Below are 26,145 nucleotides of genomic sequence, written 5' to 3' on the forward strand. Positions count from 1 at the left end.
TATATTTACTTTAATTTCTTCCAGCAATTTTTGCAGTTTTCAGGATTAAGTTTTTGCACTTCTGTTAAATTTATCCTTAAGTGTTTTATTCTCTTGATACTATTGTAGATGGAATTGTTTTCTTATTTCATTTTTGGATTGTTCATTGCTAATGTATGTAAATGTAGTTGACCCTTGAACAACATGGGTTTGAACTCTGTGGGTCTACTTATATGTGGATTTTCTCCTATCTCTACTGTCTCTGTGACATCAAGATCAACCCCTCTTCTTCTTCCTCCTCCTCAGCCTACTCAATGTGAAGATGATGAAGATGAAGACCTTTATGATGATCTGCTTCCACTTAATTAATAGTAAATATATTTTTATTCCTTATGATTTTCTTAGTATTTTTTCTCTAGCTTACTTTATTGTGAGAATATAGCATATAATATATAATATACAAAATATGTGTTAATCAACTGCTTACGTTATCAGTAAGGCTTCTAGTCAACAGTAGGTTATTTGTTGTTAAGTTTGCAGGGAGCTGGCTGGGTGTGGTGTCTCACATCTGTAATCCCAGCAGTTTGGGAGGTGAAGCGGGGAACGGATCACTTGAGGTCAGGAGTTCGAGACCAGCTTGACCAACATGGCAAAACCCCATCTCTACTAAATATACAAAATTAGCCATGAGTGGTGGCACATACCTGTAATCCCAGCTACTTGGGAGGCTGAGGCAGGAGAATCACTTGAACCCGGAAGGCGGAGGCTGTAGTGAACTGAGATGGTGTCACCACACTCCAGCCTGAGCAACAGAGCAAGACTCCATCTCAAAAAAAAAAAAAAGTTTTTGGGGAGTCAAAAGTTAGACACAAATTTTCGACTACCTGAGGGGTCCACATCCCTAACCCTCACATTGTTCAAGGGTCAACTGTACAGTTGAGTTTGTATGTTACTCTTGTGTTCTGCAACTTTGCTGAATTTATTAGTTTTAATTGTTAGTTTAGTTTAGTTTAGTTTTGTTTTTTTGAGGCACTTTCGCTCTTGTTGTCCAGGCTGGAGTGCAATGGAGTGATCTTGGCTGACTGCAACCTCTGCCTCCTGGGTTCAAGCGATTCTCCTGCCTCAGCCTCCCAAGTAGCTGGGATTATAAGCATGTGCCACCATGCCCGGCTAATTTTGTATTTTTAGTAGAGATGGGGTTTCACCATGTTGGTCAGGCTGGTCTTGAACTCCTGACCTCAGGTGATCCCCCCGACTTTGGCCTCTCAAAGTGCTGGGATTATAGGCGTGAGCCACCATGCGTGGCCTAATTGTTAGTTTCAGTTGGTTTTTTAATGGATTCCTGAGGATTTTCTATATAGAGGGTCATATCATCTACAGCTAGAGATAGTTTTACTTCTTGTTGTCCAACTTGTATTTCTTTAATTTTATTTTCTTGTCTAATTGCCTTGACTAGGACCTCCTGTACAATGTTGAATAGAAGTGGCCAAGGTGGATATCCTTATCTTGCTAGTGATTGTAAGGGAAGGCATTCATTCTTTCATAATTTCATATAATGTTAGCTGTGGGTTTTTTATAGATGGCCTTTATCAGGATGAGGAAGTTCCCTTCTGTGCTTGGTTTGTTGGGTGTTTTTATCATGAAAGGGGTGTTGGATTTTGTTAAATCCATTTATTGAGATGATCATTTATTGAGATGATCATGTGGGTTTTTGTTCTTTATTCTGTTTGTAATGTTGTATTACCTTAACTAATTTTTGGATGTTAAACCATTTAATCCTTTTCATATGTTTTTAGATTTGGTTCACTAGTATTTTGCTGAAGATTTTTCTGTCAATATTCATAAGAGGTATTAGTCTGTAGTTTTCTTGTGGTGTCTTTGTCTAGTTTAGTGTCAGGGTAAAATTTGCCCCATATAAATCATGGGAAGTGTTCCCTCCTGTTCTGTTTTTTGGAAGGGTTTGTGAAGACTTGGTTTTAATTCATCTTTAAATATTTGATAGAGTTTGCCAATGACAACATCTGGGCCTGGGCTTCTCTTTGTGGAGAATTTTTAAGTTACTGATTCAGTCTCTTTACTTTTTATAGGTTTGTTCAGGCTCTATCTCTTTTGAGTCATTTTCAGTTGTTTGTGTCCTTCTAGGAATTTGTGCATTTCATTTGTTATCTAATTTTATTGGCATACCATTGTTTATAGTAGTCTCTGGTAATCTTTTTTTATTTCTGTAAGATTTATAGATCCCTTTCATTCATGATTTTAGTAATTTTATTCTTTTTCTCTGTCTTGTTCAATTTAGCTAAAGATTTATCTTTTTAAAAACTCTTTTTAAAGAACTAACTTTTGATTTTCCTGTGTTATTTTTGTAGTCTCTATTTTATTGACTTCTACACTAACCTTTATTAACCCATTTATGCCGGAGGTTGCAAGTTTTTTTGTGTGAAAAATCAGACCTTGGCAATAACCTTGAGCAGTAGGATATAAATAACTCCCACAAGCTTAGCGTTCCAATAATGGAACACCAGGCATAAATGGGTTCTTTCTTTCTACTTGTTTTAGGTTTGATTTGTTCCTTTTTTTTTTTTTTTTTACAGTGTCTTAAGGTGGAAGATTAGTTATGATTTGTATTTTTTTTTTTTTTGAGACAGAGTCTTATTGCCCAGGCTGAAGTACGGTGACACAATCTCAGCTTACTGCAACCTCCACCTCCCAGATTTTAGCAGTTCTTGTGCCTCAACCTCCCAAGTAACTGGGATTACAGACATGCACCACCACATCTGGCTAATTTTTGTACTTTTAATAGAGACGGGGTTTTGCCATGTTGGCTGGGCTTGTCTCGAACTCCTGAACTCAAGTGACCCACCCACCTTGGCCTCCAAAAGTGCTGGGATTACAGGTGTGAGCCACCACACCCAGACGTTTTTTCTTTTTTAATGTAGGCATTTAAAGACATAAATTTCCCTCTAAGCACTGCTTTAACTACATTCCACATGTTTTAGTATGTTGTGTCTTCATTTTCATTCATCTCAAAGTATTTTCTAGTCTCCCTTGTGGTTTTTTTTTTCTATGACCCATTAGATATTTAAGAGTGTATTGTTCTGCGGAAGGCCGCAGGGTCCTCTGCCTAGGAAAACCAGAGACCTTTGTTCACTTGTTTATCTGCTGACCTTCCCTCCACTATTGTCCCATGACCCTGCCAAATCCCCCTCGGTGAGAAACACCCAAGAATTATCAATAAAAAAATAAATTAAAAAAAAAAAAAAAAGAGTGTATTGTTTAATTTCCATATGTTTTTTAATTTCTAAGATTTCTTTCTGCTAATGATTTCTAATTTTCTTCCATAAGAGCTAGAAAATACTTTGATTTAAATTCTTTAATTTTTTTTATTTTGTGGCCTAGGATGTATGTAGACATATATCCTAGAGTATATGTCAAGTGCACTGGAGGATAATGTATATTCTGCTGTTGTTGGGTGGAGTGTCTTGTAGATGTCTGTTAGGTCTACTTAATTTGTAGTGTTATTCAAGTCTTCTGTTCCCTTGTTAAAATTCTGCCTAGTTGTTGTATCCATTATTGAAAATGTGATTTTGAATGATCCCAGTATTATTAATCAGTGGTCTGATTAATAGTTGATCACACTATTAATCAGTTTCTCCCTTCAAACCTGTCAGTTTTTGCTTCGTGTATTTTGGTGCTCTATTGTTAGGTGCACATACATTTATATTTGTTATATATTATGGATGAACTGGTTCTTTTATCATTATAAAATGTCCAACTATATTGCTGGTAACTTTTTAAATCCCTTTTATTTTATGTAAGTATAGTCATTCCAACTGTCTTATGGTTGCTGCTAGCATAAATATCTTTTTCCATCCTTTTACTTTTAATCCATTTATGTCTTTAAATCTGACATGTTGTAATACACTGTTAGAGACATATTGTGGCTATAAGATTAATGATAGCCGTAAGGCCCATGCAAACATCTTGCAGGGCTGACACTATGTGTCAATTAGCAGTATGATGCAACATGGTCTAGGGATTTCCAACCCTGGCTTGGGAATTTCCAGGAGGTAAGACCACCTCAGCATAGATGGAACTCTCATAAACCATAAATACAAAGCTTTCCCTTACCAAAATAGCTTAACTCCCTTATGGAAGAAAAACCTGGTAACTGACCTGGACTAAATACAAGATAAGAAAGGGGAAGAATCCCCAAAACTCTGAGAATGTTCTCTGGACAGAGACTTTCCCGGCCAGGCAGTCATCTGATACCTGAATGTATCTGACCCTTGCCACCTGCCTGCTCCTGCTAGCTATCTTGTAAGAGCACTGCCAGAATAAACTGCTTGAACATCACACAGCATCTAAGACTTATCTTTGATGTGAATAATAGGAAAAGGGAAAAGTCACCTTTGGGGAAGGTTAACTAGGCCCAGCCCAAGATCCCTGAACAAGACACATGGGTCTCCTGTAGATTCTCTTTTTTTTTTTTTTTTTAGACGGAATCTCGCTCTGTTGCCCAGGCTATGGAGTGCAGTGGCACGATCTTGGCTCACTGCCACCTACGCCTCCCAGGTTCAAGCTATTCTCCTGCCTCAGCCTCCCGAGTAGCTGGTACTACAGGCACCTGCCACCATGGCTGGCTAATTTTTGTATTTTTAGTAGAGACGGGGTTTCACCATGTTGGCCAGGCTGACCTTGAACTCCTGATCTCAGGTGATCCATCTACCTTGGCCTCCCAAAGTGCTAGGATTACAGGCTTGAGCCACTGCACCCGGCCAGTTCTTTTTAAATCTAGTCTGACAGCCTCTGCCTTTTTATTAGATTGTTTAATCATTCACACTTAATGTTACTATTGACATAGTTGGAGTACCACCTATTTTCACTTTTTGTTTCCTAGATGTCTCATATATTTTTTGTTCTCTTTTCCCCCTTTACCGTTTTCTTTTGCATTAACGAATATTTTCTAATTTAACATCAAAATTCTTTAGTGCTTTTTTCACTTTTTAAATTAGTTATTTCCTTAGTGGTTGTCAAGGGCTTACTATTTATGTATAAACTTACCAGTATATACTTCAAATTTATACTAATTTAATTCCAGTAAGATGTAGAAATGTTACTCCTATACAGTTCTGTTCCTTCTTCTTTTTTGTGCTTTTATTGTTATGGGTATTACATCTATATATGTTACAAACTCAACAGTGCATTGTTACAAATATCTTTTTTTTTTTTTTTTGGAGACAGAGTCTTGCTCTGTCACCCAAGCTGGAGTGCAGTGGTGCAATCTTGGCTCACTGCAACCTCCACCTTCCAGGTTCAAGTGATTCTCATGCCTCAGCCTCCCAAGCAGCTGGAATTACAGGCGTGTGCAATCAGGCCCATCTAATTGTTGTATTTTTAGTAGAAACAGGGTTTCTCCATGTTGGCCAGGCTGATCTTGAACTCCTGGCCTCAAGTGATCTGCCCACCTTGGCCTCCCAAAATGCTGGGATTACAGGCGTGAGCCACTGCAGCCAGCCACAAATATCATTGTAGTTAATTTCCTGTCTTTTCTTTCTTTCCTTCCTTCCTTCTTTCTTTCTTTCTTTCTTTTTCTTTTTTTTTTTTTTTTTTTTTTTTTTGACAAGATTCCACCCTGTCACCCAGGCTGGAGTTTGGTGTCACAATCACAACTCACTACAGCCTCAACCTCCCAGGCTCAAGTGATCCTTCCACCTCAGCTGCCCTAGTAGCTGGGACTACAGGCATATCCCATCGCACTGGCTAATTTTTTATTTTTTGTGCAGATAAGGTGTCCTTATGTTGCCCAGGCTGGTCTTGAACTCCTGGGCTCAAGTGATCCTCCTGCCTTGGCCTCCCAAAGTGCTTACAGGCATGAGCCAGTGCACCTGGCCAATTTCATATCTTTTAAGGAAGCTAAGGGAAGAAAGAGCAAGTATATGTTTATAGATTTTGCTTGAGTAATCTTCTTAGTTGCCTTTTCACATTATCTTCATTTGTTCCATGGATCTGAATTATCATCTGGTGTCCTTTCCTTAATAGACAATTCTGCTCCCTCCCACCTCCTTTGTGCTATTATGAAATATTGTGTGTTATAGCCCTAACAAAATAATTATATACATGTTATTTTATACAGTTGCTTTTAAATCAGTTAAGAGAAGCAATATACAGTTACACTGCCCTTTTTTTCCTTTACTTTTTTGAGACGGAATCTCTTTTGCTGATTGCGAGATAGTTTCTCTGTCTTTGGCTTTCAACATTTTCATTATCATGTGTCTGGGAGTGAATGTCTTTGTGTTTTATCCCACCCAGAATTCACTGAGCCTCTTAGGTATGTAGATTAGTGTTTTCCATTACATTTGAGATGTTTTCAGCCATTATTTTTCAGAGACATTTTTCTGCCCCTTTCTCTTGCTCCTGCCCTTCTGCTACTCCTGTTTTCCCTATTTGGTGCCTTATGGTGTCCCACATTTCTCTGAGGCTCTGTTTATCTTTCTCATGTTTTTCCTGTCTTATATTTGGATTTCGTAATCTCTGTAAATCTACCTTCATGTTGACTAAATGTATTTTCTGCCAGTTCCAATATACTCTGGAGCCCCTCCAGTGAATTCTTCATATCGGTTGTACTTTCCAACTCCAGGATTTCCTTTTGGTTCTTTTTCATAATTTCTCTCTTGTTTATCTTGAGGACTCTCTATTTGATGAGCCATTGTCATCATACTTTTCTTTATCTCTTTAAGTACAGTCATAGGCAGTTTTTATCACTTGCCTTTTTTCCTGCTTTTCCACACACTGAAGATACCAGTTAGAATTTTTTTAGTTTTCCTGTTCCTGGGATTGCTTCTATGTGATCTAGAATCAGTCATTTACCTGTTCATCCTGGTTTTTCCTCAGGCTTGGGGATCCTGGATTGTTCCTGTGGATGGATGAAGCATTTCGTTGTTTGATGTAGGGGCTAGGGATGGCTCATCTCCAGTTCTCAATGCGTTTCCCCAGGAGGTGTCTCCCAGGAAAGGAAGGCCCACGGTGGGCTCTGCATAAGGTGGTGGCAGCAGAGCCCGGCAAGCCGGGTGGACCCCCCCAACTTTTCTCGTGACTTCCCTGGACGGAGCTGCCTTTGCTTTGCTCCTCTGAGTTCCCTAGCAGATGCCTCAAGCTCCTCCCCCTTTTCTAGATCCTTCCCCCATCCTGGGAGCCCACCTTGTGCCCGCCCTCTCTGGGCGTGTGGTGCTGTCTCAGTCTGAGGTCAGCACCTCTGCCGCTGACTTGGTGTACGGGAGCAGGGCGTGTTCGGACATTGGGAAGCTGACCTCTGCCGGCCTCGGTAGCTGGCCCGTGCCCTGCGCTTCCCGCTGTCCACCCTGAACTTGGGTGGCCACTGGATACTTTCAGATTGGCCTTTAAGTGTTCTTTTCCCTGTTAATCTAATGCCATCATCTTGCTACATTTTAGGGACTCCTCAAAATTCCTAGTCCACATACCCCCTCCCACCCCCTTTTATTTGAGACAGTGTGTTACTGTGTCACCCAGGCTGGAGTGCAGTGGTGTGATCTCCCTATGTTGCCCAGGCTGGTCTTGAACCCCTGGGCTCAAGCAGTCCACCCACCTCGGCCTTCCAAAGTGAGCCACTGCGCCTGGCCAGATACCCTTTGTTGGTGTTGTTTTGATTTGATTCTTAGTCGGAGAAGTAGCTGTTTTCTCTTTCATTTCAGTAGGATCCTGAGTGGGCAGTGGATACATTTGTTTTTCACCATTTTAAACTCAAAGCACTAAAGCTAAACAATGTAGTCCCCTCTGCTCATTTTCCATCTGCAGTAGTGAGACTCTCAGTGCCCGGGGCAGTCAGCGCCTGGCGCGTAGGAGCGGCTTCATCAGCACTGGCTCGGTGCCAAATGCATGGCAGTGAAGTGCTGTGCACTAGGACCCTCCCCAAAAGCAAGAGCCTGCATCCCTGTTGCCTCTTCCTCTTCCGTCTCCGTAGAAGCAGAAAGGCACACAGCTTCCACGACACAGATTCACTGACTGCAGCCGCGTTAAAGACACGTTCACACTGAAGCACCTGACAGTGACTCTGGGCCAGTGATGATGGGCGGCTTATATTCTTCTTTATAGTCTTCTGAACTTGGACAACAATTTACTTTTATAGTTGTAGAAAACTGTTAAGCTCTGTTGGAACGCAGTTTTGAGAGGAATCAATTTGTGCAGCTCAGTTCGGTACTCATGTTTGTTTCCCAGCGGTCACCTTTGTCCCGGTGTCCAAGGTGAGCGGGCAGGCAGAGGTGGACGACATCCTCGCGGCAGTCCGCCCGACCACACGCCTCGTGACCATCATGCTGGCCAACAATGAGACTGGCATTGTCATGGTGAGTCGGCCTTTGTTTCTCTTTAAGGAGAGCTCATGGGGAAGAACAGCAGCTTAGACTCATGGCGTTTCAGGTTTCCCAGCTCTGGCCTCTCCCGTTTCTCTGTTCACTTTGATAACATTTGGCCTGCGCTCACTACTCCTGATTTCTGTCATTCAGTTTTCATCAGATCGGAGCAACATACTCAACTGTTTCCTTTCCCCGTCAGCCTGTCCCTGAAATCAGTCAGCGCATTAAAGCCCTGAACCAGGAACGGGTGGCAGCTGGGCTACCTCCCATCCTCGTGCACACGGATGCTGCACAGGCCTTGGGGAAGCAGCGCGTGGATGTGGAGGACCTGGGCGTGGACTTCCTTACAATCGTGGGGCACAAGGTAAGTCTGCAGAGGCTTCCTGCCTCTGTGGGCAGAGCCTACTGCGCAGGTGGCTGTTTACTCCTCGGTCCGTAAGCCTCACTGCCCACCGTGAGCCAGGCCTTGGGGGCACTGCGAGGAGCAACGTGGGATCCTTGTCCTCAGGAGCTTTAAGAGGGGAGCCCCACATGGCCAGCATGCCAGGACGAATGCCATGGCAGGGATGATGGGGGGGGTGCCCAGCCCACATGGGGCAGGGTGGGGGCGGTAGACCAAGCTAGGGGAGGAGACGTCGAGATCTCAGGGAGAGTAAGGCAGGGGGTTCGGCCAGGCAGCGAGTGTCTCTGCAGCGGACAGGGCATCTGCAGAGGGTGTGGGGTGGAAGATGTAGGGACAGGAAATCGTTGCTTTCTCTAATGTGATTTCAGATGCGGCTCCTCAGCAAAACCTTTGCAGCTATCTTTAAGGTGGGAGTATGGGGAAAATAGTTAACAGTGAAGACCCTTCTGAAAATTTTGCACATCTTTCTGGCAGCTTACCAGGGCCCGAGATATTTTTAGTACTCAATTTTGAAGCACAGTCCTCAGCTGGTTTCCAAAGGAGTGTCTATGCTGGCCTGACACTGGCACTCCAGAGTTCTGCATTGTGTCAGTTGGAAACATGGAATCATTTGCAGGAAAAGCCCTGGCCAACCGCTGGTTCCAACCCCTCTCTATTTATGCATTCTCTTTCTTTTTTTTTTTTTTAAACCTGTGATTCATATGATTTGAGATCCTTTTACAAATTCTATCACATGATGCGCAGGGGAGAGCTGCCTGCCACAGAGCTGAGCACGAGAGTCTAGCACCTGCGCTGCCTCCTAGGTTGGGGTTCCACCCTGCCCCGAAGGCTTTTGTGACTCTGCGTGTCAAAAGGGGTGGCACTCAGAGGCGCCACAAGGAAGCAGCAGGACTATGCATTGCAGAGCATTTCTCCTGTGTGCCCCTAAGCACTTAGCATGTATACAGAGTAGGTCCTTGGAAAGTTCTTGTTGAATAAATGACCAACTTTTCCTTCCAGTTTTATGGTCCCAGGATTGGCGCACTTTATATACGAGGACTTGGTGAATTTACCCCTCTCTACCCTATGCTATTTGGAGGTGGACAAGAACGGAATTTCAGGCCAGGGTAAGGCAGAAAGTTAACAAAGTCTCTGACCTACTGACCGTGTCATTTGTAGAGCAGTGACATTGTAAAGAAACATGGCGCTGTTTCTTGGTCTCGTGGAGGCTCTGTAGCATGTCCACACTGCTGCTGTGTCAGAACTGGCTCCACTGATTGATTTTACACTGAGGGCTCACAGGACCTGCAGTCTCTTTGGGAATGATTGAAAGCAATGAAGGAAATCTCTGTTTCTTTTAACTGCTCCAATGCATCCAATTCCCCTTGTAATTTTGGCCCAGCCCACTGAAGAGAACTGTTGGACCCTTCATGGCTGAGGCCTGCTGCTGTTTTAACTTCGGGGATCAGCAGGACCACACAGAAGCACTGGTCTCCTTTCTGATAGCTCCTGTGTCCCCTCTATGTATAGTGACGTGTTAACTGGGAAATTAGTTGTTGCCCCCACCACACCTTTTGTTAGAAACTACTTAACAAGAGAGAGAAACAGGAACAGCATGGTGGTGAGTTCCTGGGTTTTCTTTTCACCTTGTGTATCCCACACTTAGTGCTGAAGAAGCCGGCAAACCTGATATGCTAGTAAGGGCAGACACAAAAATGCCCCAACCAAAGCCTGTCCTCTCTAGCCAGTGGACCAGGAAAGGAATGGCCTAGCAAGACAGAAAACTTTGAGACAACACTTGCTTTACTCCAGCCAGATGCTACAGGGGAAATTGTGCTGCCACGCCTATCCACACCTGCAAAGATGGAGTGGGAAACCCAGACTTCCACCAATACAGGCTGTAACAAGGTATCCCACACCACCACCGGGTGTGTCAAGAAGGCCAGGTAGAGAACCGGGACTTAGGCACTCCCACCATGGTGTCAGTAGAGACCATATCGGGATCTTGGACCCACACCTGTCAGTCACAGGGAGCGTCCTCCCATTGGGTGTCAACATCAGCCAAGTAAAAAATCTAGATGTTGGCCAGGCACAGGCTCATGCCTGTAATCCCAGCACTTTGGGAGGCTGAAGTGGGCAGATCACTTGGGGTCAGGAGTTTGAGAGCAGCCTGGCCGAGATGGTAAAACCTTATCTCTACTAAAAATATAAAAATTAGCCAGGTGTGGTGGCGCATGCCTGTAATCCCAGCTACTTGGGAAGCTGAGGCAGGAGAATTGCTTGAACCCGGGAGGCTGAGGTTGCAGTGATCCGAGATGGCACCACTGCACTTCAGTCTGGGTGACAGAACAAGACTCTGTCTCAAAAAAAAAAAAAAAAAAAAAAAGCCCAGCACGGTGGCTCACTCCTGTAATCCCAGCACTTTGGGAGGCCGAGGCGGGTGGATCACAAGGTCAGGAGATCGAGACCATCCTGGCTAATATGGTGAAACCCCATCTCTACTAAAAGTACGAAAAATTAGCCAGGCGTGGTGGTGTGTTCCTGTAATCCCAGCTACTCGGGAGGCTAAGGCAGGAGAATCATTTGAACCCGGGAGGCGGAGGTTGCACTGAGTCGAGATCGCACCACTGCATTCCAGCCTGGGTGACAGAGAGAGACTCCATCTCAAAAAAAAAAAAAAAAAAGAAACCTAGACTTCTACTTCCACTTGGCAGTGATGGTGGCATACCCCTTCTCCTGCCAGCACAACGTCAGAAAATGGCAGCCCAAACAGAAAGATTGAATAAGATCCAGGTTCTCATAAAGTAAGGCAAAAATGTCCAGGTTTCAAGTGAAAATCATTCATCATACCAAGAACTAGAAAGATTTCAAATTGAATGAACAATAATAATCAATATACGCCTGCACTAAGATGATGATGTTAAAATTATCTAACAAATATTTTACAGCAGACACAGTAAAAATGCTTCAATGAGAAATTGTGAACACCCTTGAAACAAGTGAAACAAAGTGTCAGCAAAGAGAAGGACAACATAAAAGAAGAACCAAATGGAAATTGGAAATTGTAGAACTAAGAACAGCAGCAGCCAAAATATAAAGCTCAGTGGATGGGCTTAATAGAAAAATAAGAGGACAGAGAAAGAAATCTATGAGCTGAAAGACAGAACAATAGAAATCCAGACCACAGAGAAGAAATAGAGTGGGTCTTCGGCTGGGTGCTGTGGCTCACACCTGTAATCCCAGCACTTTGGGAGGCCGAGGTGAGCGGATCACAAGGTCAGGAGATCGAGACCATCCTGGCTAACACGGTGAAACCCCATCTCTACTGAAAAAAAAAAATACACAAAAAATTAGCCGGGCTTGGTGGCACACGCCTATAGTCCCAGCTACCCGGGAGGCTGAGGCAGGAGAATCCCTTGAACCTAGGAGGCAGAGGTTGCAGTGAGCCGAGATCGTGCCACTCCAGCCTGGGCAACAGAGCGGGACTCTGTCTCAAAAAAATAAAAAGAATGGGGTTTAAAATAGAGCTTCAGGGACCTATGAGACGATAACAAATGATATAACATTCGTTTCATTGAAATCCCTGAAACAGAGAAAGATGACAGCCTGAAAAAGTGCTTGAAGAAATAATGGCTAAAAAATTTCCTGAATTTGGCAAGAGACATAAACATACAGAATCAAGAAACTGAGTAAACCCCAAATAGCATAAACGCAAAGAAATCTATGCCAGAGACATATGATTAGACTTCTAAAAATGAAAGACAGAATTCTCTAAAGCAGTCAGAGAAAGATGACACTTCACCAGTATGGGAAAAAGAATTTGGATGACTGAATTTCTCATCAGAAACCAGAAAGACCAGAAGAAAGGGACACAATTATTTTTCTTCAAGTGCTCAGAGAAAACCGTCAAGCTAGAATCCTGTACCCAGTGAATATATCTTTCAGGAATGAAGAAGTAATCAAAACATTCTCAGATGAAGAAAAACTAAGAATTTATCACCAAATACAATAGGCTTTCCTTCTTCTTTAGAGTTTTCTGAATTACGTTTGATAGCAGAAGCAAAAATCTTAGCAATATCTGATGTGGTTCAAAATGTACATAAAGGACATATTTAAGATAATTATAGAAAGGCAAAGGTAAAGGAACATAATAGGAGATGAGGTCTGTGCTTCACTGGAACTGGCAAAGTGACAACAACACAGGCTGACACGATGGCTCACACCTATAATCCCCCTGCTTTGGGAGGCCAAGGCAGGAGGATTGCTTGAGGACAGGAGTTCCCAGCCTGGGCAACATAGCAAGATCTCATCTCTAAAAAATTTTTTTTAATTAGCCGACATGGCAGTGCGTGCCTGTAGTCCCAGCTACTCAGGAGGCTGAGGGGGAAGGATCACTCGAGCCCAGAAGTTCGAGGCTGCAGTGAGCTATGATCACACCATTGCACTCCAGCCTGGGCAACAGAGCAAGACCCTGTCTCTTTAAAAAAAAAAAAAAAAAAAAGACAATATTGGCCAGGCACGGTGGCTCACGCCTGTTATCCCAGCACTTTGGGAGGCCAAGGCCGGTGGATCACCTGAGGTCAGGAGTTTGAGACCAGCCTGACCAACATTGAGAAACCCCATCTCTACTAAAAATATAAAATGAGCCGGGTGTGGTGGCGCATGCCTATAATCCCAGCTACTTGGGAGGCTGAGGCAGGAGAATCGCTTGAACCCGGGAGGCAGAGGTTGTGGTGACCCGAGATCGCACCACTGCACGCCAGCCTGGGCAACAAGAGCAAAACTCCGTCTGAAAAAAAAAAAAAAGACAACATTAGCTGGGCGTGGTGGCTCACATTTCTAATCCTAGCACTGTGGGAGGTCAAGGCAGGTAGATTGCTTGAGGCCAGGAGTTCAAGACCAGCCTGAGCAACATGGTGAAATCCTGTTTCTACAAAAAAAAAAAAAAATGGCTGGATGTGGTGGCACGGGCCTGTAGTCTCAGCTATGTGGGAGGCTGAGATAGATGGTAGGATTGCTTGAGCCCAGGACAGACCTCTAGCAAGACTGACCAAAAAAACAGAGAAGTTATAACATCAGGAATGAAACAAGGAGTACCACTCCAGGCCCTGCAGCCATCAAAAGGATAATGAGGGAATGCCACAAACAGCTCTACACATAGGAAGTTGACAACTTAGATGAAACTGACCACTTCCTCAAAAAACACAAACTACCACAACTCACTTGATATAAAATAGATCATTTGAATAGCTCTATAACCATTAGGAAATTGAACTTACAGCTTTAAAACTCCCCAAAGAGAAGTCTTCAGGCCCGGTGGTTTCATTAGAGAATTCTATCGAAGAATTCTTTGTTTAAAGAAGAATTAACATTTCTATACAGTCTCTTCCAGAAAATAAAGAGGAAGGACAACTTCCCAGTTCATTTTATGAAGCTAGTATTATCCTGACACTAAAACCAGATAAAGACAGTACAAAAAAAATCCTTTACAGACCAACATCCTCATGAATTTTGATGCAAAAAATATTTAACAAAATGTTTACAAATAGAATTCAGCAATACATAGAAAGAATTATACACTGCTGGGTGTGGTGGTTCACGCGTGTAATCCCAGCACTTTGGGAGGCTGAGGCAGGGGATCAGGATCACTTGAGCCCAGGAGTTCAAGACCAGGCTGGGCACCATAGTGAGACCCCTCTACAAAAAATAAAAAAATTAACTGGGCATGGTGGTACATGCCTATAATCCCAGCTACTCAGGAGGCTGAGATAGGAGGATTGCTTGAGTGAGCGTGGGAGGTCAAGGCTGCATGAGCTATGATTACACCACTGCACTCCAGTTTGGGTGACAAAGTGAGACTCTGTCTCAAAAAAATAAAGAATGATACACTGTGACCAAGTGGCATTTATTCCACAGATGCAAGGCTGGTTCAATATTCAAAATGCGATCTAGAGCCGGGAGTGGTAGCTCATGCCTGCAATCCCAGAACTTTGGGAGGCCAAGGCGGGTAAATCACTTGAAGTCAGGAGTTCGGGCCCAGCCTGGCCAACATGGTGAAATCTCGCCTCTATTACAAATACAAAAATTAGCCAGGTGTGGTGGCAGACGCTTGTAATCCCAGCTACTTGGAAGGCTGAGGCACAAGAATCGATTGAACCTGGGTAACAGAGTTTGCATGAGCTGAGATGGCAGCACCACACTTCAGCCTAGGCAACAGAGCAAGACTCTATCTCAAAAAAAGAAAAGAAAAGAAAAAATGCAATCAAGGCAGGTCACAGTGGCTTATGCCTGTAATCTCCCAGTACTTTGGGATGCCAAGGCGAGAGGATCACTTGAGGCCAGGAGTTCAAGGCCAGCCTAGGTGAACTGCAAGACCCAGCTCTACAAAAATAAAAAAATTCAATCAATGTAATCTACCATATTAACAAGCTAATGAATAAAGAAGATAACATGATCATATTTGATGCAGCAGAAGCATTTGACAAAATTCAACCATTCATGTTAAAAACTCAGAATAATAGGATTAGTGGGGAACTTTCTCAACTTGAAAAAGAACATCTACATAAAACCTACAGCTGATATCATACTTAGTGGTGAAAGCCTGAATGTTTTACTCCTGTGGCTGGGGGAACAAAGCAGGGATGTCCACTGTCACCACACTTATCCAGCATAGTGCTGGAAGTTCTGGTCAGCGTAGTAAGGCAAGAAAAGGAAGCAAAAGGCATATAGATCAGAATGGAAGAGGTAAAATTGTTTCTAATCAGATCACACGATTGTCTATAAAGAAAATCCCAAGGAATGTACAAGAAAACTCCTAGAACTAATAAGTGAGGATAGCAAGGTTGCAGGACACAAGATAAACATGCAAAAATCTATCTTATTTTTATATAGTGGTAATGAACAGGTGGACAGTAACATTAAAAATATAATACCATTTACAATGAAACAAAATTACTCAGATATAAACTAGCAAAATATAAAGGACTTATATGCTGAAAATAATATAATGTGGATGAGAAGAAGATCTAAGCAGAGACACATGCCGTGTTCATAGATTGGAAGATTCTACATACCAAAGATGTCAAAGGTGGATATACAAGCCTAACAATTTCTATCAAAATCCCAGCAAGTAGATCAATGGAGGAGAATAGACCCAAACAGAAATAGGCCCATATGAGTTACGGGTGCAGATACAACCGCAGGAGACGCAAATCAGTTCAGCAGATGAAAGTTAGCCTTTCAACAGATCGTGCCAAGGCAGTTAGACATCCATAGGCAAAAGATGAACCTTGACCCAAGTCTTACACCAAGCTTGTCCAACCTGCGGCCTGCAGGCTGCATGCGGCCCAGGACAGGTTTGAATGTAGCCCAACACAAATGCATAAACTTTCTTAAAACATTGATTTTTTTTTTTTTTGCGATTTTTTTTTTTTTTAAAGCTCATCAGCTATCATTAGTGTATTTTATATGTGGCCCAAGACAATTCTTCCAGTGTGGCCTAGGGAAGCCAAAGCATTAGACACCCCTGTCTTACACCTCATAAAATAGTGTCTCAAAATAGATCTTGAAATTAAATGTAAAACATAAAGCAATAAAACCGTTTAAAAATAGAAAATCTTCAAGTTCTAGGACTAGGCAAAGAGTTCTTAGACTTGACACCAAAAGCATCCATAAAAGGAAAAATTGATAAATTAGACTTCATCAGAATTTAAAGCTTTTGCTCTGGGAAGGACCATATTAAGAGGATGGGAAGATAAGCTAAATCTAGGAAAAAATATTTTCAAATGACATATCTGACAAAGAAATGGTATCTAGAATATATAAAGAACTCACAAAACTCAACAGCAAAAATAATATAAAAAATTCAATCTGAAAATAGGGAAAAAATATAAACAGACATTTCACCAAAGAGGAGACCCAGGTAATAAGCACAGGAAAAGATGTTCAACAGCATTAGTTATTGGGGGAATGCAAATTAAAACCACCAGATATCACTAACACCTATCAGAATGGCTAAAATAAGAATAGAGACACCACCAAATGCTGGTGAGGGTGCAGAGAAAATATCTATTGGTAAACAAGCAATAGCCGAGTCCAGAGGTTTAAGAAAACTTTGTTCAGGCAAACTTAAGAAATTAATGGGCCGGGCGCAGTGGCTTACACCTGTGATCCCAGCACTTTGGGAGGCCGAGGTGGCTGGATCACGAGGTCAGGAGTTCGAGACCAGCCTGACCAACATGGTGAAACCCTGTCTTTACAAAAATTAGCTGGGCATGGCGGCACATGCCTGTAATCCCAGATACTCAGGAAGCTGAGGCAGGAGAATCACTTGAACCCGGCAGGTGGAGGATGCAGTGAGTCGAGATCCACTGCACTCCAGCCTGGGCAACAGAACGAGACCCCATCTAAAAAAAAATTAAGAAATTAATTATTAAGTTAATTTTTTTTTCCTGAAAATAGGGTAATGAGTTCTGTTTTTCGGTTTGTTAGGTCAGAGTATGCAAGCCATTGTCTTTAGGGGTCTCTTGCCCATCTCCTGTGTGTGTGCACACCCACACGCGCTTGCACACATACACACACACACACACCCCTCTTGTTTGCTGATGCCTGAAATGTTGAGAACAAAGGGTTCTCCCCTGTTCCATACTATACTGATTTGGCAGTGAGGACTAAAGAGAGCTGTGCCTTGGGGCCTACAGGAGGCAGAGTGCTTGCTTTGGGTAGGAAAAGGGTCCAGATAGAACTGTCACAGTGAACACCCAACACATCACCCACAGTGGGCCTCGTTGACCTTCACTGGGCCAGGGCAAGTGAAAACTTGGCAGGGGAGGTTTCTGGGGCCTGCAGCTGCCATTGAGATAGCCACATGGCGCGTGCTTAGGAAAGATGTAGCGTGAGTTTGATTTTATTTTAACACAATGACTTTCATGGAGACAGGATTCCTTCCTGAGACATTTGTTTATTCTTGCTTAATCCCTTGTTTCTTACAGGACAGAGAACACCCCAATGATTGCTGGCCTTGGGAAGGTGAGCCCTGGTGAGCTTGAGGAGATGAGTTGATTGCTTTGTCATCAGTGTCCCCAGCGGCTCTAGTAGGAATCTGGGGCTTTAGGGAGATCATATTCGTGATCTCATAAGCGGACTGACAAGAAAAAGCCTGGAATCTGATTTATCAACCTGGAGAGCTGTACTTTTTCAGATCTGTGGATTAGTGGCACTTGTTTAGCATTTAAAAGGGAAAAACTCCTTGTCTGTGTCTCTTCTGACATGAGAAACAGTGATACTGTTACAGCAGAGGTGAAGTGTCAAGCTGCAGGTTCACCATTCCCAAAGGCGTCGGCAGCCCCCGCACCATCGACGTTCTGTCCCCGATTGGTCTGTGGGGTGGCCAATCCAGCACCTGCCACCAGCCCTCCACTGGGGCCTGTCCTGCTTCTGCGACAGTAACCAGGCTCAGGTTTTGCCGTGCGAAGGCAGAGGTACTGGTTACACCTCGGCGTCTGCAGGCTGCTCCCTCACTGTGCGGCCTCTGGTCAAAGGCCACCACCTTCAAGCAACCCTCCATGAACCACAGCTACATTGGTTCCCCCATGTCCCCTGCTGTCACCCTCTATCCCTGACACTGCTTTATTTCCCCTATCTGATGTTTCTCTGTAGTGTGTTCAGATGTATGCCCCACCTTCTGCTTCCCCGAGAGCAGGGGCTTGGCCATGTCGGCCTCAGTATCCCCAGTACAGAGAAAGGGCTTAGCGCCCAGGAGGCCGGGCCTTGGGAAGAGTATGAATGGATTCCCTGTTACTTAGAATATTCAAAATTATATTATTAACAGTGATAACTGTGGCTACATTTACTAGAAGGAAGAGTGTGTGTTTGTTTGAGATGGAGTCTCACTCTGTCACCCAGGCTGGAGTGCAGTGGCACGACCTTGGCTCACTGCAGCCTCCATCTCCCGGGTTCAAGAGATTCTCCCACTTCAGTCTCCAAGTAGTTGGAACCACAGGCATGCGCCACCATGCCTGGCTAATTTTTGTATTTTTAGTAGAGACAGGGTTTCACCATGTTGTCCAGCTGGTCTCGAACTCCTAACCTCAGGTGATCCACCCGCCTTGGCCTCCCAAAGTGCTGGGATTACAGGCATGAGCCACCACGCCCAGCCGGAAGAGTGTGTTTTAAGTGGAGTCCGGTACCTGCTCGTATTGACCTGAGTGATGAAGTAGTGGTGCCGTCCACAGGCTTTGAAATACCCAGGGTTCAAATCCTGGCTTGAAGCTTCACTCACCGTGTGCCTTGGGTCAGGTCGCTGGAACTCCCTGAGTCCTGGCTGCCAGATGGGAATCACGGTAACAGCTTCCTAGGTAGAGCTTCAGCTCACAGTGCTGGAAGCCCCCCAGCCCCTGACCTTCTCCGTGCTCCTGCAGCTGCATCTGCACCTGTAATGGCACAAGTGCCACAGCTGGGTCCCAGCCACAGCACCACACCCCCACTGGTTCTTCAGCTTCGCCCAGCCCAGACCCCAATGCCACCAGCGCTCTAGACAGCCCCCCTCCGCCACCCAGCCTAGACTCCATCCTGCACACGCCCTCCCCAGCGTGCTTTCCCTCACCCATTCCTTTCTGCCTTGGTTGCGTGCTGGCAGCCCTGCACCTGAGCCCTTGTGGGTCCGTCTGTCCTGTCACTGTGATGCTAGCTTGTGCTCCTGCCTTTAAACTTGACATCTCAGCTAGGCCCTGGCCCATGTCCTGAGAGATCCATTCCTCTGAGTTCAAAACCTGTCCCGACTGCTCTCCTCCAACCCTCTTCCCACCCTGGGCACCTCTTGCTATCCAGGTTCTCACCTCTGAAGTCCGGGGGATGCCCTCAGTCCCTCCTTGTCATCGTCCCCTGCCTCCAATGCAGCACCTTCCTGTCTGTCTGGATTCCAGAATACACCCACTACCGGCCTCATGTCCATTTTCATGGCCACCAACCCTAGACCAAGGGTCTGGATGCCTGCCATGGCCTCCTGGGGGCCTGCTGCTGCCATTTTCCACACGGCCACAGAATGACCAACAGACAGGCCAGTCAGACCATCGCATCCCTCCCTCAGCCTCACTGCGTCTGCCCCGTGGCCGGGCCTGCAGGGCCTGTCGATCTGTCCCTGCGCCTTCACCCCCTCCACACTCTCCACCCGCCACGCCAGGCCCCTCTGTTCTAGAGACAGAATGTCTGTCTGTCCCCTGCAAAGCCCTTGCTGGGACGCCATTCCCTGCCCTTGTACAGCCATCTCTGTCACCACCCCACCTTGGGCCTGCGAGGTGCCTTCACAGCGCCAACTGGTGGGTAGGAGTCTGTTCCCCTCTTCCCCTGCTTTTGTCCGTCTGCCTCTCTGGGATGCTGGCTCCTCGAGGGAGCCCTTTCAGGGCTGCTTTGCTGAGGCATCTCCAGTGCCTGGTGCTGTCAGGAGGTACCTGGTGAAGTCAGTTTCTGGGGCACTTCCACACCCTCCAAATGGCAGCACTCAAAAAATATGGTCTGTCTGTGACTGTCAGGAGAATGAGCAGTTTCAGGAAATGCCACCTGTACCGTTGAAAGCTTTTTGGCCCTCCTTTATTTTGCAAGAATTGTGCATCCACTTGTTGTGTGTCTGCCCCCAGGCCGCGGAGCTGGTGACCCAGAACTGCGAGGCTTATGAGGCCCACATGAGGGACGTCCGCGACTACCTGGAAGAGAGGCTGGAAGTGAGCGCAGCGTGGGGTGGGCACCAGGAGGGGGAGGGTGCGTGGGGCAGGTGCCCAGAGAGGAGGGGTGTGGTGCTCCCAGACCCCAGGACCTGTGGGGATTGCAGCGTAGCCTGGAACTCAGCAGGATGCAGTGAGGGAAGAAAGAACAGTGGCAGAAAGTACATTGGGATCTGAAACCCCGAAAGCAGGACCCTAGGCCAGGGGCATGATCTTTTTCAGAGACACAGGATCAAATATGCAGAGGTGGTATACCTCATGGTTTATGTGGAAGGTTCATATGTTTCTGAATATTTGGTTTTTCTCCTAATTAACTTTGCTTTCCATAGTCCGTCCCCGTAACTATTCTGGGTAGATGCTGATTGAAAAGTATGCACCTGCTGAAGTTGTGTTTCTGGAAAAGTCTAAATTTCAAACAGTTGCTGGTGGTGGTGTCTTTGAAGCTGTCACCAAATATTTCACTTATTTTTTTCAGGCTGAATTCGGTCAGAAGAGAATCCATCTGAATAGCCAGTTTCCAGGCACCCAGCGGCTTCCCAATACCTGTAACTTTTCCATCCGGGGACCCCGGCTTCAAGGTGATGGCCCCTCACCCTGGTCTTTCCGAGTGTGAGCACAGCTCCCTCGGTGCGTGGATTCTGGTCCGAGCCAGTGACTCCCACTCGCCCTGCCCTGAGCATGACACAGCTCGGGCTGTCAGAGGGCCTTGCTGGGGTTGCCAAGAGCAGGCTCGGGTGGCTGTGCTGTGGTCCACAGGGCTCTCGCCGCTGGCCCCTCCTCTCCCTGACGTGGCTCATTTTGCTGCTGCTGGGATGTGGACTGTGGCAAACTCTCGTGTCTGGCATTAGCGCCACCCCAAAAGCCGTCAGGGAAGGAAGCAACATTAAATTCTAGACATTTGTCTATTTTGTTGGCAGTTTTAATTAAATATTTGAGTGAGGGAAAGGGGAGGTGATCAGTTTTAAAAACTGGCAGAGGCTGGGCACAGTGGCTCGTGCCTGTAATCCTAGCACTTTTGGAGGCTGAGGCAGGCTGATCACAAGGTCAAGAGATTGAGTCCAGCCTGGCCAACATGGAGAAACCCCATCTCTACCAAAAACTACAAAAAATTAGCCAGGCATAGTGGTGTGCACCTGTAGTCCCAGCTACTTGGGAGGCTGAGGCAGGAGAATTGCTTGAACCTGGAGGTTGCAGTGAGCCATAATTGAGCCACTGCACTCCAGCTTGGGTGACAGAGTGAGTGAGACTCTGTCTCAAACAAACAAAAAACAACAAAAATAACTGGCAGAGTAAGGATCAAGTGCAAATCTGGATTTCCTGCAACATCTGCCTCGGCTAGGAGCAGTTAGGATCACCCCCGTCCCAGATGCACCTAAAACCTGGTCTGCCCTGACTCCCTGAGAGTGGAAGTCCAGGTGATTGACCAGCCGCATGTCATTTGGGAGGAGGTTATAGTGGCCCTGAGATCACGATGAGCTGCATCTGTAAACAAGTTTTTGACTTCTTAGAAGATGAAAGTGTTGCTTCTTTCTTCTTCCTGGATCACGCAGAGAAACCCAGCAGTCGTGTTTGGCCCATGAAGAAGAACCCGTGGGTAACCGTCATGATGGCTGCGTTCATGAGAACCTGGGCTGAAATGCGTTCTTGTGGGCAGTGAAGCCTGGGTCTCCTTGACCATCTCAAATTCCTCACCATGGAAAGGAGAGTTCTCTGTCAACGTTCCCCTTGTTCTGGGGTCAGACTTTGTGTTCAGTGACAACCTGTGTTACTTTAAATGAGACAGAGGTTCTCATTTTATTTATTTATTTTTTGATTCAGGGTCTCACTCTGTCGTCACCCAGGCTGGAGTGCTGTGGCGCAATCACAGCCCACTGTAGCCTTGACCTTCTGGGTTCAAGTGATCCTCCTGCCTCAGCCTCCCTAGTAGCTGGGACTACAGGCATGCACCACCACACCTGGATAACTTTTTTTTTTTTTTTTGAGATGGAGTTTCACTCTTATTGCCCAGGCTTGAGTACAGTGGTATGATCTCGGCTCACCACAACCTCCACCTCCTGGGTTCAAGCGATTCTCCTGCCTCAGCGTCCAGAGTAGCTGGGATTACAGGTGCCTGCCACCACGCTGGGCTAATTTTTGTATTTTAAGTAGACACGGGGTGTTGCCATGTTGGCAAGGCTGGTCTCGAACTCCTGACCTCAGGCGATCCACCCACCTTGGCCCCCCAAAGTGCTGGGATTACAGGCATGAGCCACTATGCCCGGCCTTGGCTAATTTTTAAAAAATATTTTGTAGAGATAGGGTTTCCCTGTGTTGCCCAGGCTGGTCTCAAACTCCTGGCTCAAGCAGTCCTTCTACCTTGGCCTCCCAAAGTGCTGGGATTACAGGTGTAAGCCACTGCACCTGGCTGAAATTCTCAGGTTAATTACATCAGCAGTCATTAATGGCTGTGCTTGTGAAAGAAGAGGGAAATGCCTTCTGGCTTAATAGAACTCCCACGTGTCTCTACCATCCAGAACACAGGTGGAGACGTGATATTGCCGGGGCTGCCAGCTTGTAAGGAAGGAGCGGGTCAGGACTCCAGGTGTCTTAGCAGGCAGTTGATTACAAATGCGATTTTCAAGGCCAGCTTTGTGAGGCAGAATAGTGTCTGCGTTTGTGCAGCCAAGGGAGAAAGGAAGCGTTTTCTTCGGCTCCTGCTGTGAGATCTCTCCCCAGCTGCCAGAATGGCCAGTGCTGGAATTCCACCAGGTGGCACAGAGGGAGGGAAGCAGCCTGCGCCCAGCAGGACCCCGGGAAGGGACAGAAGGGCAACCTGGCTGGAGCCCCATCTCAGGGGCATGTGCTCTGTCTCCGCAGGCCACGTGGTGCTTGCGCAGTGCCGAGTGCTGATGGCCAGTGTGGGGGCCGCGTGCCACTCGGACCACGGGGACCAGTAAGTGCTCTTCACAAACCCAGTCCAGGGCATAGGGGTCCTCCGGGCACTGGGTGTGGTGGGCAGGCGGCAGGATCCGGCCACTGGGCCGCACTCTGGCTGGTGAAGGACAGCCCTGTCTGGGCCCTAGGAGGGGCAGAGGGAGGGCTTCCTGGAAGAAGTGACTTCCAAGCTGCCATCTGAAGGACTAGGACTTGTGCGGGAGAAGAGGGCTTCTCGTGCTCAGTTCTGAAGGCGGAGGGAGGGCAGGGCCTGGAGGGCCAGCGTGGCCGGGGCTGGGGAGGGCTGGGGCGGGCTGGGGTGGGCTGGGGTGGGGATGGCCTGAGTGTCAGTGCTTACTTAAACCTCATGGAAGTGGGAGCCCTGAGGGCCATGGTGTGAGCAGACTCAGGTGTCAGATCAGCCATCTGCAAGATGCAGCAGAGATTCTCAGATAGCAGGGCCCGGGTGAGCGGGTGGGCTGCCTGGCGGAGACTGTGGGGTAGAGGGCGTGGGGTGCCCGAGCAGCGGCCTGCTGGCAGCAGGGGAGAAGTGGTTCTGGGTCTGGTCTGCTGAAAACGTGAGGCCCCTGTGGGAGGTCGGAGTGGACGCAGGAGGAACACTCAGGGTTCTGGGGAGAGAGCGGAACTGTAGCCAGCAGCACGTGGCCATCAAGGTCAGGGCAGAGGGATTGTGCAGGAGCACCTGGAGCGAGACAGTGGTGGGCCTGGCTCCAGGGAAAAGGAGGGGCAGGATGGGGCCCTTTGTTGGGGGGACAGTGCCCTGCTGCAGGAGGGGCAGGGGAGGAAAGGGACCCGGGTGTGATGAGGTCAGGCCCCTTGACAGAGCCCACATCTCGAGCCTCCAACAGCCTTGCTTCAGGATGTCCCCACGCAGTCATCTGTTCATGGCTAGATACTGACTGGGTCCCTAGTGTCTGCAAAGCCCCATGCTAGGTGCCATGAAGTTACCAAGTGGCTCAGGTGGGCCGCATGGGTAAGGCACTGTCTGTGTCGGCATCCGTGTTCTCCAGGACCTCAGACCCCTCAAGGACAGGAGAGCCCCTGGCCCCAGAGCTCAGTGCGAGAGGGAGGCAGTGTCACCTGGGAGTGCCAAGTGCAAGAGAACTCTGCAGGGAGAACGGGGGCGACTTTGAGCCACACCTTGATGTGGGTGATCTTAGGGGTGTGCTTGGTCTGGGAGTTTAGCAGGAGGTGGATGCCAGGCGAGGCAGGCGCACATCCGGGTGGGCAGAGCCCCACTAGGGGAGTGGTCCAGAGCAGGGGGGGCTGTGTCTCTTCCATGTGCCCTCAGCAGCAGCTGCAGCTCGGTCTCGCCCTCCCCAGGCCGTCCCCAGTGCTGCTGAGCTACGGTGTCCCCTTCGACGTGGCCAGGAACGCGCTCCGGCTCAGCGTGGGCCGCAGCACCACCAGGGCCGAGGTGGACCTCGTCGTGCAGGACCTGAAGCAGGCCGTGGCGCAGCTGGAGGACCAGGCCTAGCACTGGGGCCGCCTTCCCCACCCCGCTTCTGGGAAGCCCGTGGCAGGGCACAGGGTTGTCCCTCCAGTTCCCTCCTGAGGGCTGTGCCAGGATGACTGTCTCATGCCCCCTCTGCATTTTGTCCTGGAGTGCCAGCGAGTGTGCACCCCCAGTTTCCTTCCCTGGACCCCTGCAGAGCTCACAGGGCCCAGGACACCAACGCCGCATAGGACTGCCCACATGGGACCGCCCACATAGGACCGCCCACATAGGACCGCCCACATGGGACCGCCCACATGGGACCGCCCACATGGGACCGCCCACATAGAACCGTCCTCCAGTGGTGAAGCGGAAACACTTAGCTTTATCCACCCTCCCCACTGGGAACTGGGCACGCCTGTTGTGAGTGCCCTTTCCTGGAAGGTGTTTTTATCTGGAAGATAGAATCCAAGTATTTATAACTCATTGTCAGCCAAATGCTATCATGAACGTAGGAAACTTGATTTTTTTGTTTTGATCATGGCCTCTACATGCACCTTTCCAGAGTGGTCTCTTCTCAGGCCCTTTTTAGTCCCTTTCCAAAGCTGCCCCCACCACCCTGCTCCTCTGGCCTCAGTGCACAGTGGCCCCCAGCCTCGGCCAGGCCTGCTCTGCTCAGCGCCCACCGCCCACCACCCCTCCTGCTTCCCCGAGCCTGACCCTGTTCCGCCCACTGGCAATCAGGGCTGCGCACTTCCCTGTCCACGGTCCCCAGGCCTTCCTGTCTTGTCCCTTTTGATCATTATTAACTCAGGGTTTCAGCTCCAACCTCGCTGAGTTGGTGCAGCTCCAGGTCATTCCTGGGGTGGGAATCGGATCATCCCTGACTCAGCTTTTACCTTAATTTTATTTGCAGAGGATTCTTTTCTCAAAATGCTCTGGCATTTGGACACACATCACATGTCGATATTTGCATAGGAGTCATTTTCAGTGGAATAACATTTTTAATGTGTGGTTTTACGGTTCAAGGAACTACTTGATGATTTTGAGGAAACACTTGCCAGAAACTAAATTAACGAATAAAAGATTTCAGTGCCCGACTTGGGGATCCTGTGGTTTCTCTAGTGGGCACTGCGCTTGGGCACAAAGTCATCTGACAGAGCCTGTCGGGGGGAAGCCAGGGGTGCAGCAGCCCCCAGGTCACCATTGTGTGATGATGCGTTAGCCCAGAAATCCAGCTTGAGGCTGTGTCTCCGGAAGCCCCTACAAATGTAATGGGTCCCCCATCTGCAGCTTCCCATTGCTGCCAGGAAGAGGCTGTGGTGGTCC

At 47.1% G+C, this 26,145-nt stretch overlaps 1 protein-coding gene and 1 long non-coding RNA gene across 2 annotated transcripts in view, besides 8 other annotated features; both read left to right on the plus strand.

The window, feature by feature from the left end:
• The window catches only part of UBE2F-SCLY (UBE2F-SCLY readthrough (NMD candidate)), a 132,469-nt gene extending 106,553 nt beyond the window's left edge, over positions 1-25,916 (plus strand). Inside the window, exons 12-19 of the long non-coding RNA NR_037904.1 lie at positions 8,212-8,339; positions 8,548-8,712; positions 9,751-9,857; positions 17,721-17,757; positions 20,364-20,447; positions 20,923-21,025; positions 23,304-23,379; positions 24,705-25,916. This is a non-coding gene — a long non-coding RNA (UBE2F-SCLY readthrough (NMD candidate)). The remainder of the gene's footprint in view (positions 1-8,211; positions 8,340-8,547; positions 8,713-9,750; positions 9,858-17,720; positions 17,758-20,363; positions 20,448-20,922; positions 21,026-23,303; positions 23,380-24,704) is intronic.
• The window catches only part of SCLY (selenocysteine lyase), a 38,413-nt gene extending 12,497 nt beyond the window's left edge, over positions 1-25,916 (plus strand). The window contains exons 5-12 of the mRNA NM_016510.7: positions 8,212-8,339; positions 8,548-8,712; positions 9,751-9,857; positions 17,721-17,757; positions 20,364-20,447; positions 20,923-21,025; positions 23,304-23,379; positions 24,705-25,916. Of these exons, the coding sequence (NP_057594.5) occupies positions 8,212-8,339; positions 8,548-8,712; positions 9,751-9,857; positions 17,721-17,757; positions 20,364-20,447; positions 20,923-21,025; positions 23,304-23,379; positions 24,705-24,858 (854 nt within the window). The 3' untranslated portion in view covers positions 24,859-25,916. The remainder of the gene's footprint in view (positions 1-8,211; positions 8,340-8,547; positions 8,713-9,750; positions 9,858-17,720; positions 17,758-20,363; positions 20,448-20,922; positions 21,026-23,303; positions 23,380-24,704) is intronic.
• Positions 18,822-18,991: an enhancer, noted in NCBI's record as "experimental_57269 CRE fragment used in MPRA reporter constructs". NCBI's record gives its function as "activates a minimal promoter by MPRAs in K562 erythroleukemia cells, with activity observed for the introgressed 2:239001045 variant allele {active_cell/tissue: K562}" and the evidence as "EXISTENCE:reporter gene assay evidence [ECO:0000049][PMID:34662402]".
• Positions 20,677-21,346: an enhancer, noted in NCBI's record as "H3K27ac-H3K4me1 hESC enhancer chr2:239002815-239003484 (GRCh37/hg19 assembly coordinates)". NCBI's record gives its function as "activates a minimal SCP1, AML or CMV promoter by ChIP-STARR-seq in primed H9 embryonic stem cells {active_cell/tissue: H9 hESC(primed)}" and the evidence as "EXISTENCE:reporter gene assay evidence [ECO:0000049][PMID:30033119]".
• Positions 21,347-22,014: an enhancer, noted in NCBI's record as "H3K27ac-H3K4me1 hESC enhancer chr2:239003485-239004152 (GRCh37/hg19 assembly coordinates)". NCBI's record gives its function as "activates a minimal SCP1, AML or CMV promoter by ChIP-STARR-seq in primed H9 embryonic stem cells {active_cell/tissue: H9 hESC(primed)}" and the evidence as "EXISTENCE:reporter gene assay evidence [ECO:0000049][PMID:30033119]".
• Positions 22,683-23,350: an enhancer, noted in NCBI's record as "NANOG-H3K27ac-H3K4me1 hESC enhancer chr2:239004821-239005488 (GRCh37/hg19 assembly coordinates)". NCBI's record gives its function as "activates a minimal SCP1, AML or CMV promoter by ChIP-STARR-seq in naive and primed H9 embryonic stem cells {active_cell/tissue: H9 hESC(naive and primed)}" and the evidence as "EXISTENCE:reporter gene assay evidence [ECO:0000049][PMID:30033119]".
• Positions 23,351-24,019: an enhancer, noted in NCBI's record as "H3K27ac-H3K4me1 hESC enhancer chr2:239005489-239006157 (GRCh37/hg19 assembly coordinates)". NCBI's record gives its function as "activates a minimal SCP1, AML or CMV promoter by ChIP-STARR-seq in primed H9 embryonic stem cells {active_cell/tissue: H9 hESC(primed)}" and the evidence as "EXISTENCE:reporter gene assay evidence [ECO:0000049][PMID:30033119]".
• Positions 24,020-24,687: an enhancer, noted in NCBI's record as "H3K27ac-H3K4me1 hESC enhancer chr2:239006158-239006825 (GRCh37/hg19 assembly coordinates)". NCBI's record gives its function as "activates a minimal SCP1, AML or CMV promoter by ChIP-STARR-seq in primed H9 embryonic stem cells {active_cell/tissue: H9 hESC(primed)}" and the evidence as "EXISTENCE:reporter gene assay evidence [ECO:0000049][PMID:30033119]".
• Positions 24,688-25,356: an enhancer, noted in NCBI's record as "H3K27ac-H3K4me1 hESC enhancer chr2:239006826-239007494 (GRCh37/hg19 assembly coordinates)". NCBI's record gives its function as "activates a minimal SCP1, AML or CMV promoter by ChIP-STARR-seq in naive and primed H9 embryonic stem cells {active_cell/tissue: H9 hESC(naive and primed)}" and the evidence as "EXISTENCE:reporter gene assay evidence [ECO:0000049][PMID:30033119]".
• Positions 24,991-25,285: an enhancer, noted in NCBI's record as "tiled region #4740; HepG2 Activating DNase unmatched - State 18:Pol2, and K562 Activating DNase matched - State 5:Enh". NCBI's record gives its function as "activates a minimal TATA promoter and a strong SV40 promoter by Sharpr-MPRA in HepG2 and K562 cells {active_cell/tissue: HepG2 | K562}" and the evidence as "EXISTENCE:reporter gene assay evidence [ECO:0000049][PMID:27701403]".
• Positions 25,917-26,145: the final 229 nt, after the last annotated feature.

This window comes from Homo sapiens, chromosome 2 (genome assembly GCF_000001405.40).
Source record: "Homo sapiens chromosome 2, GRCh38.p14 Primary Assembly".
Classification (NCBI taxonomy): Eukaryota; Metazoa; Chordata; class Mammalia; order Primates; family Hominidae; genus Homo; species Homo sapiens.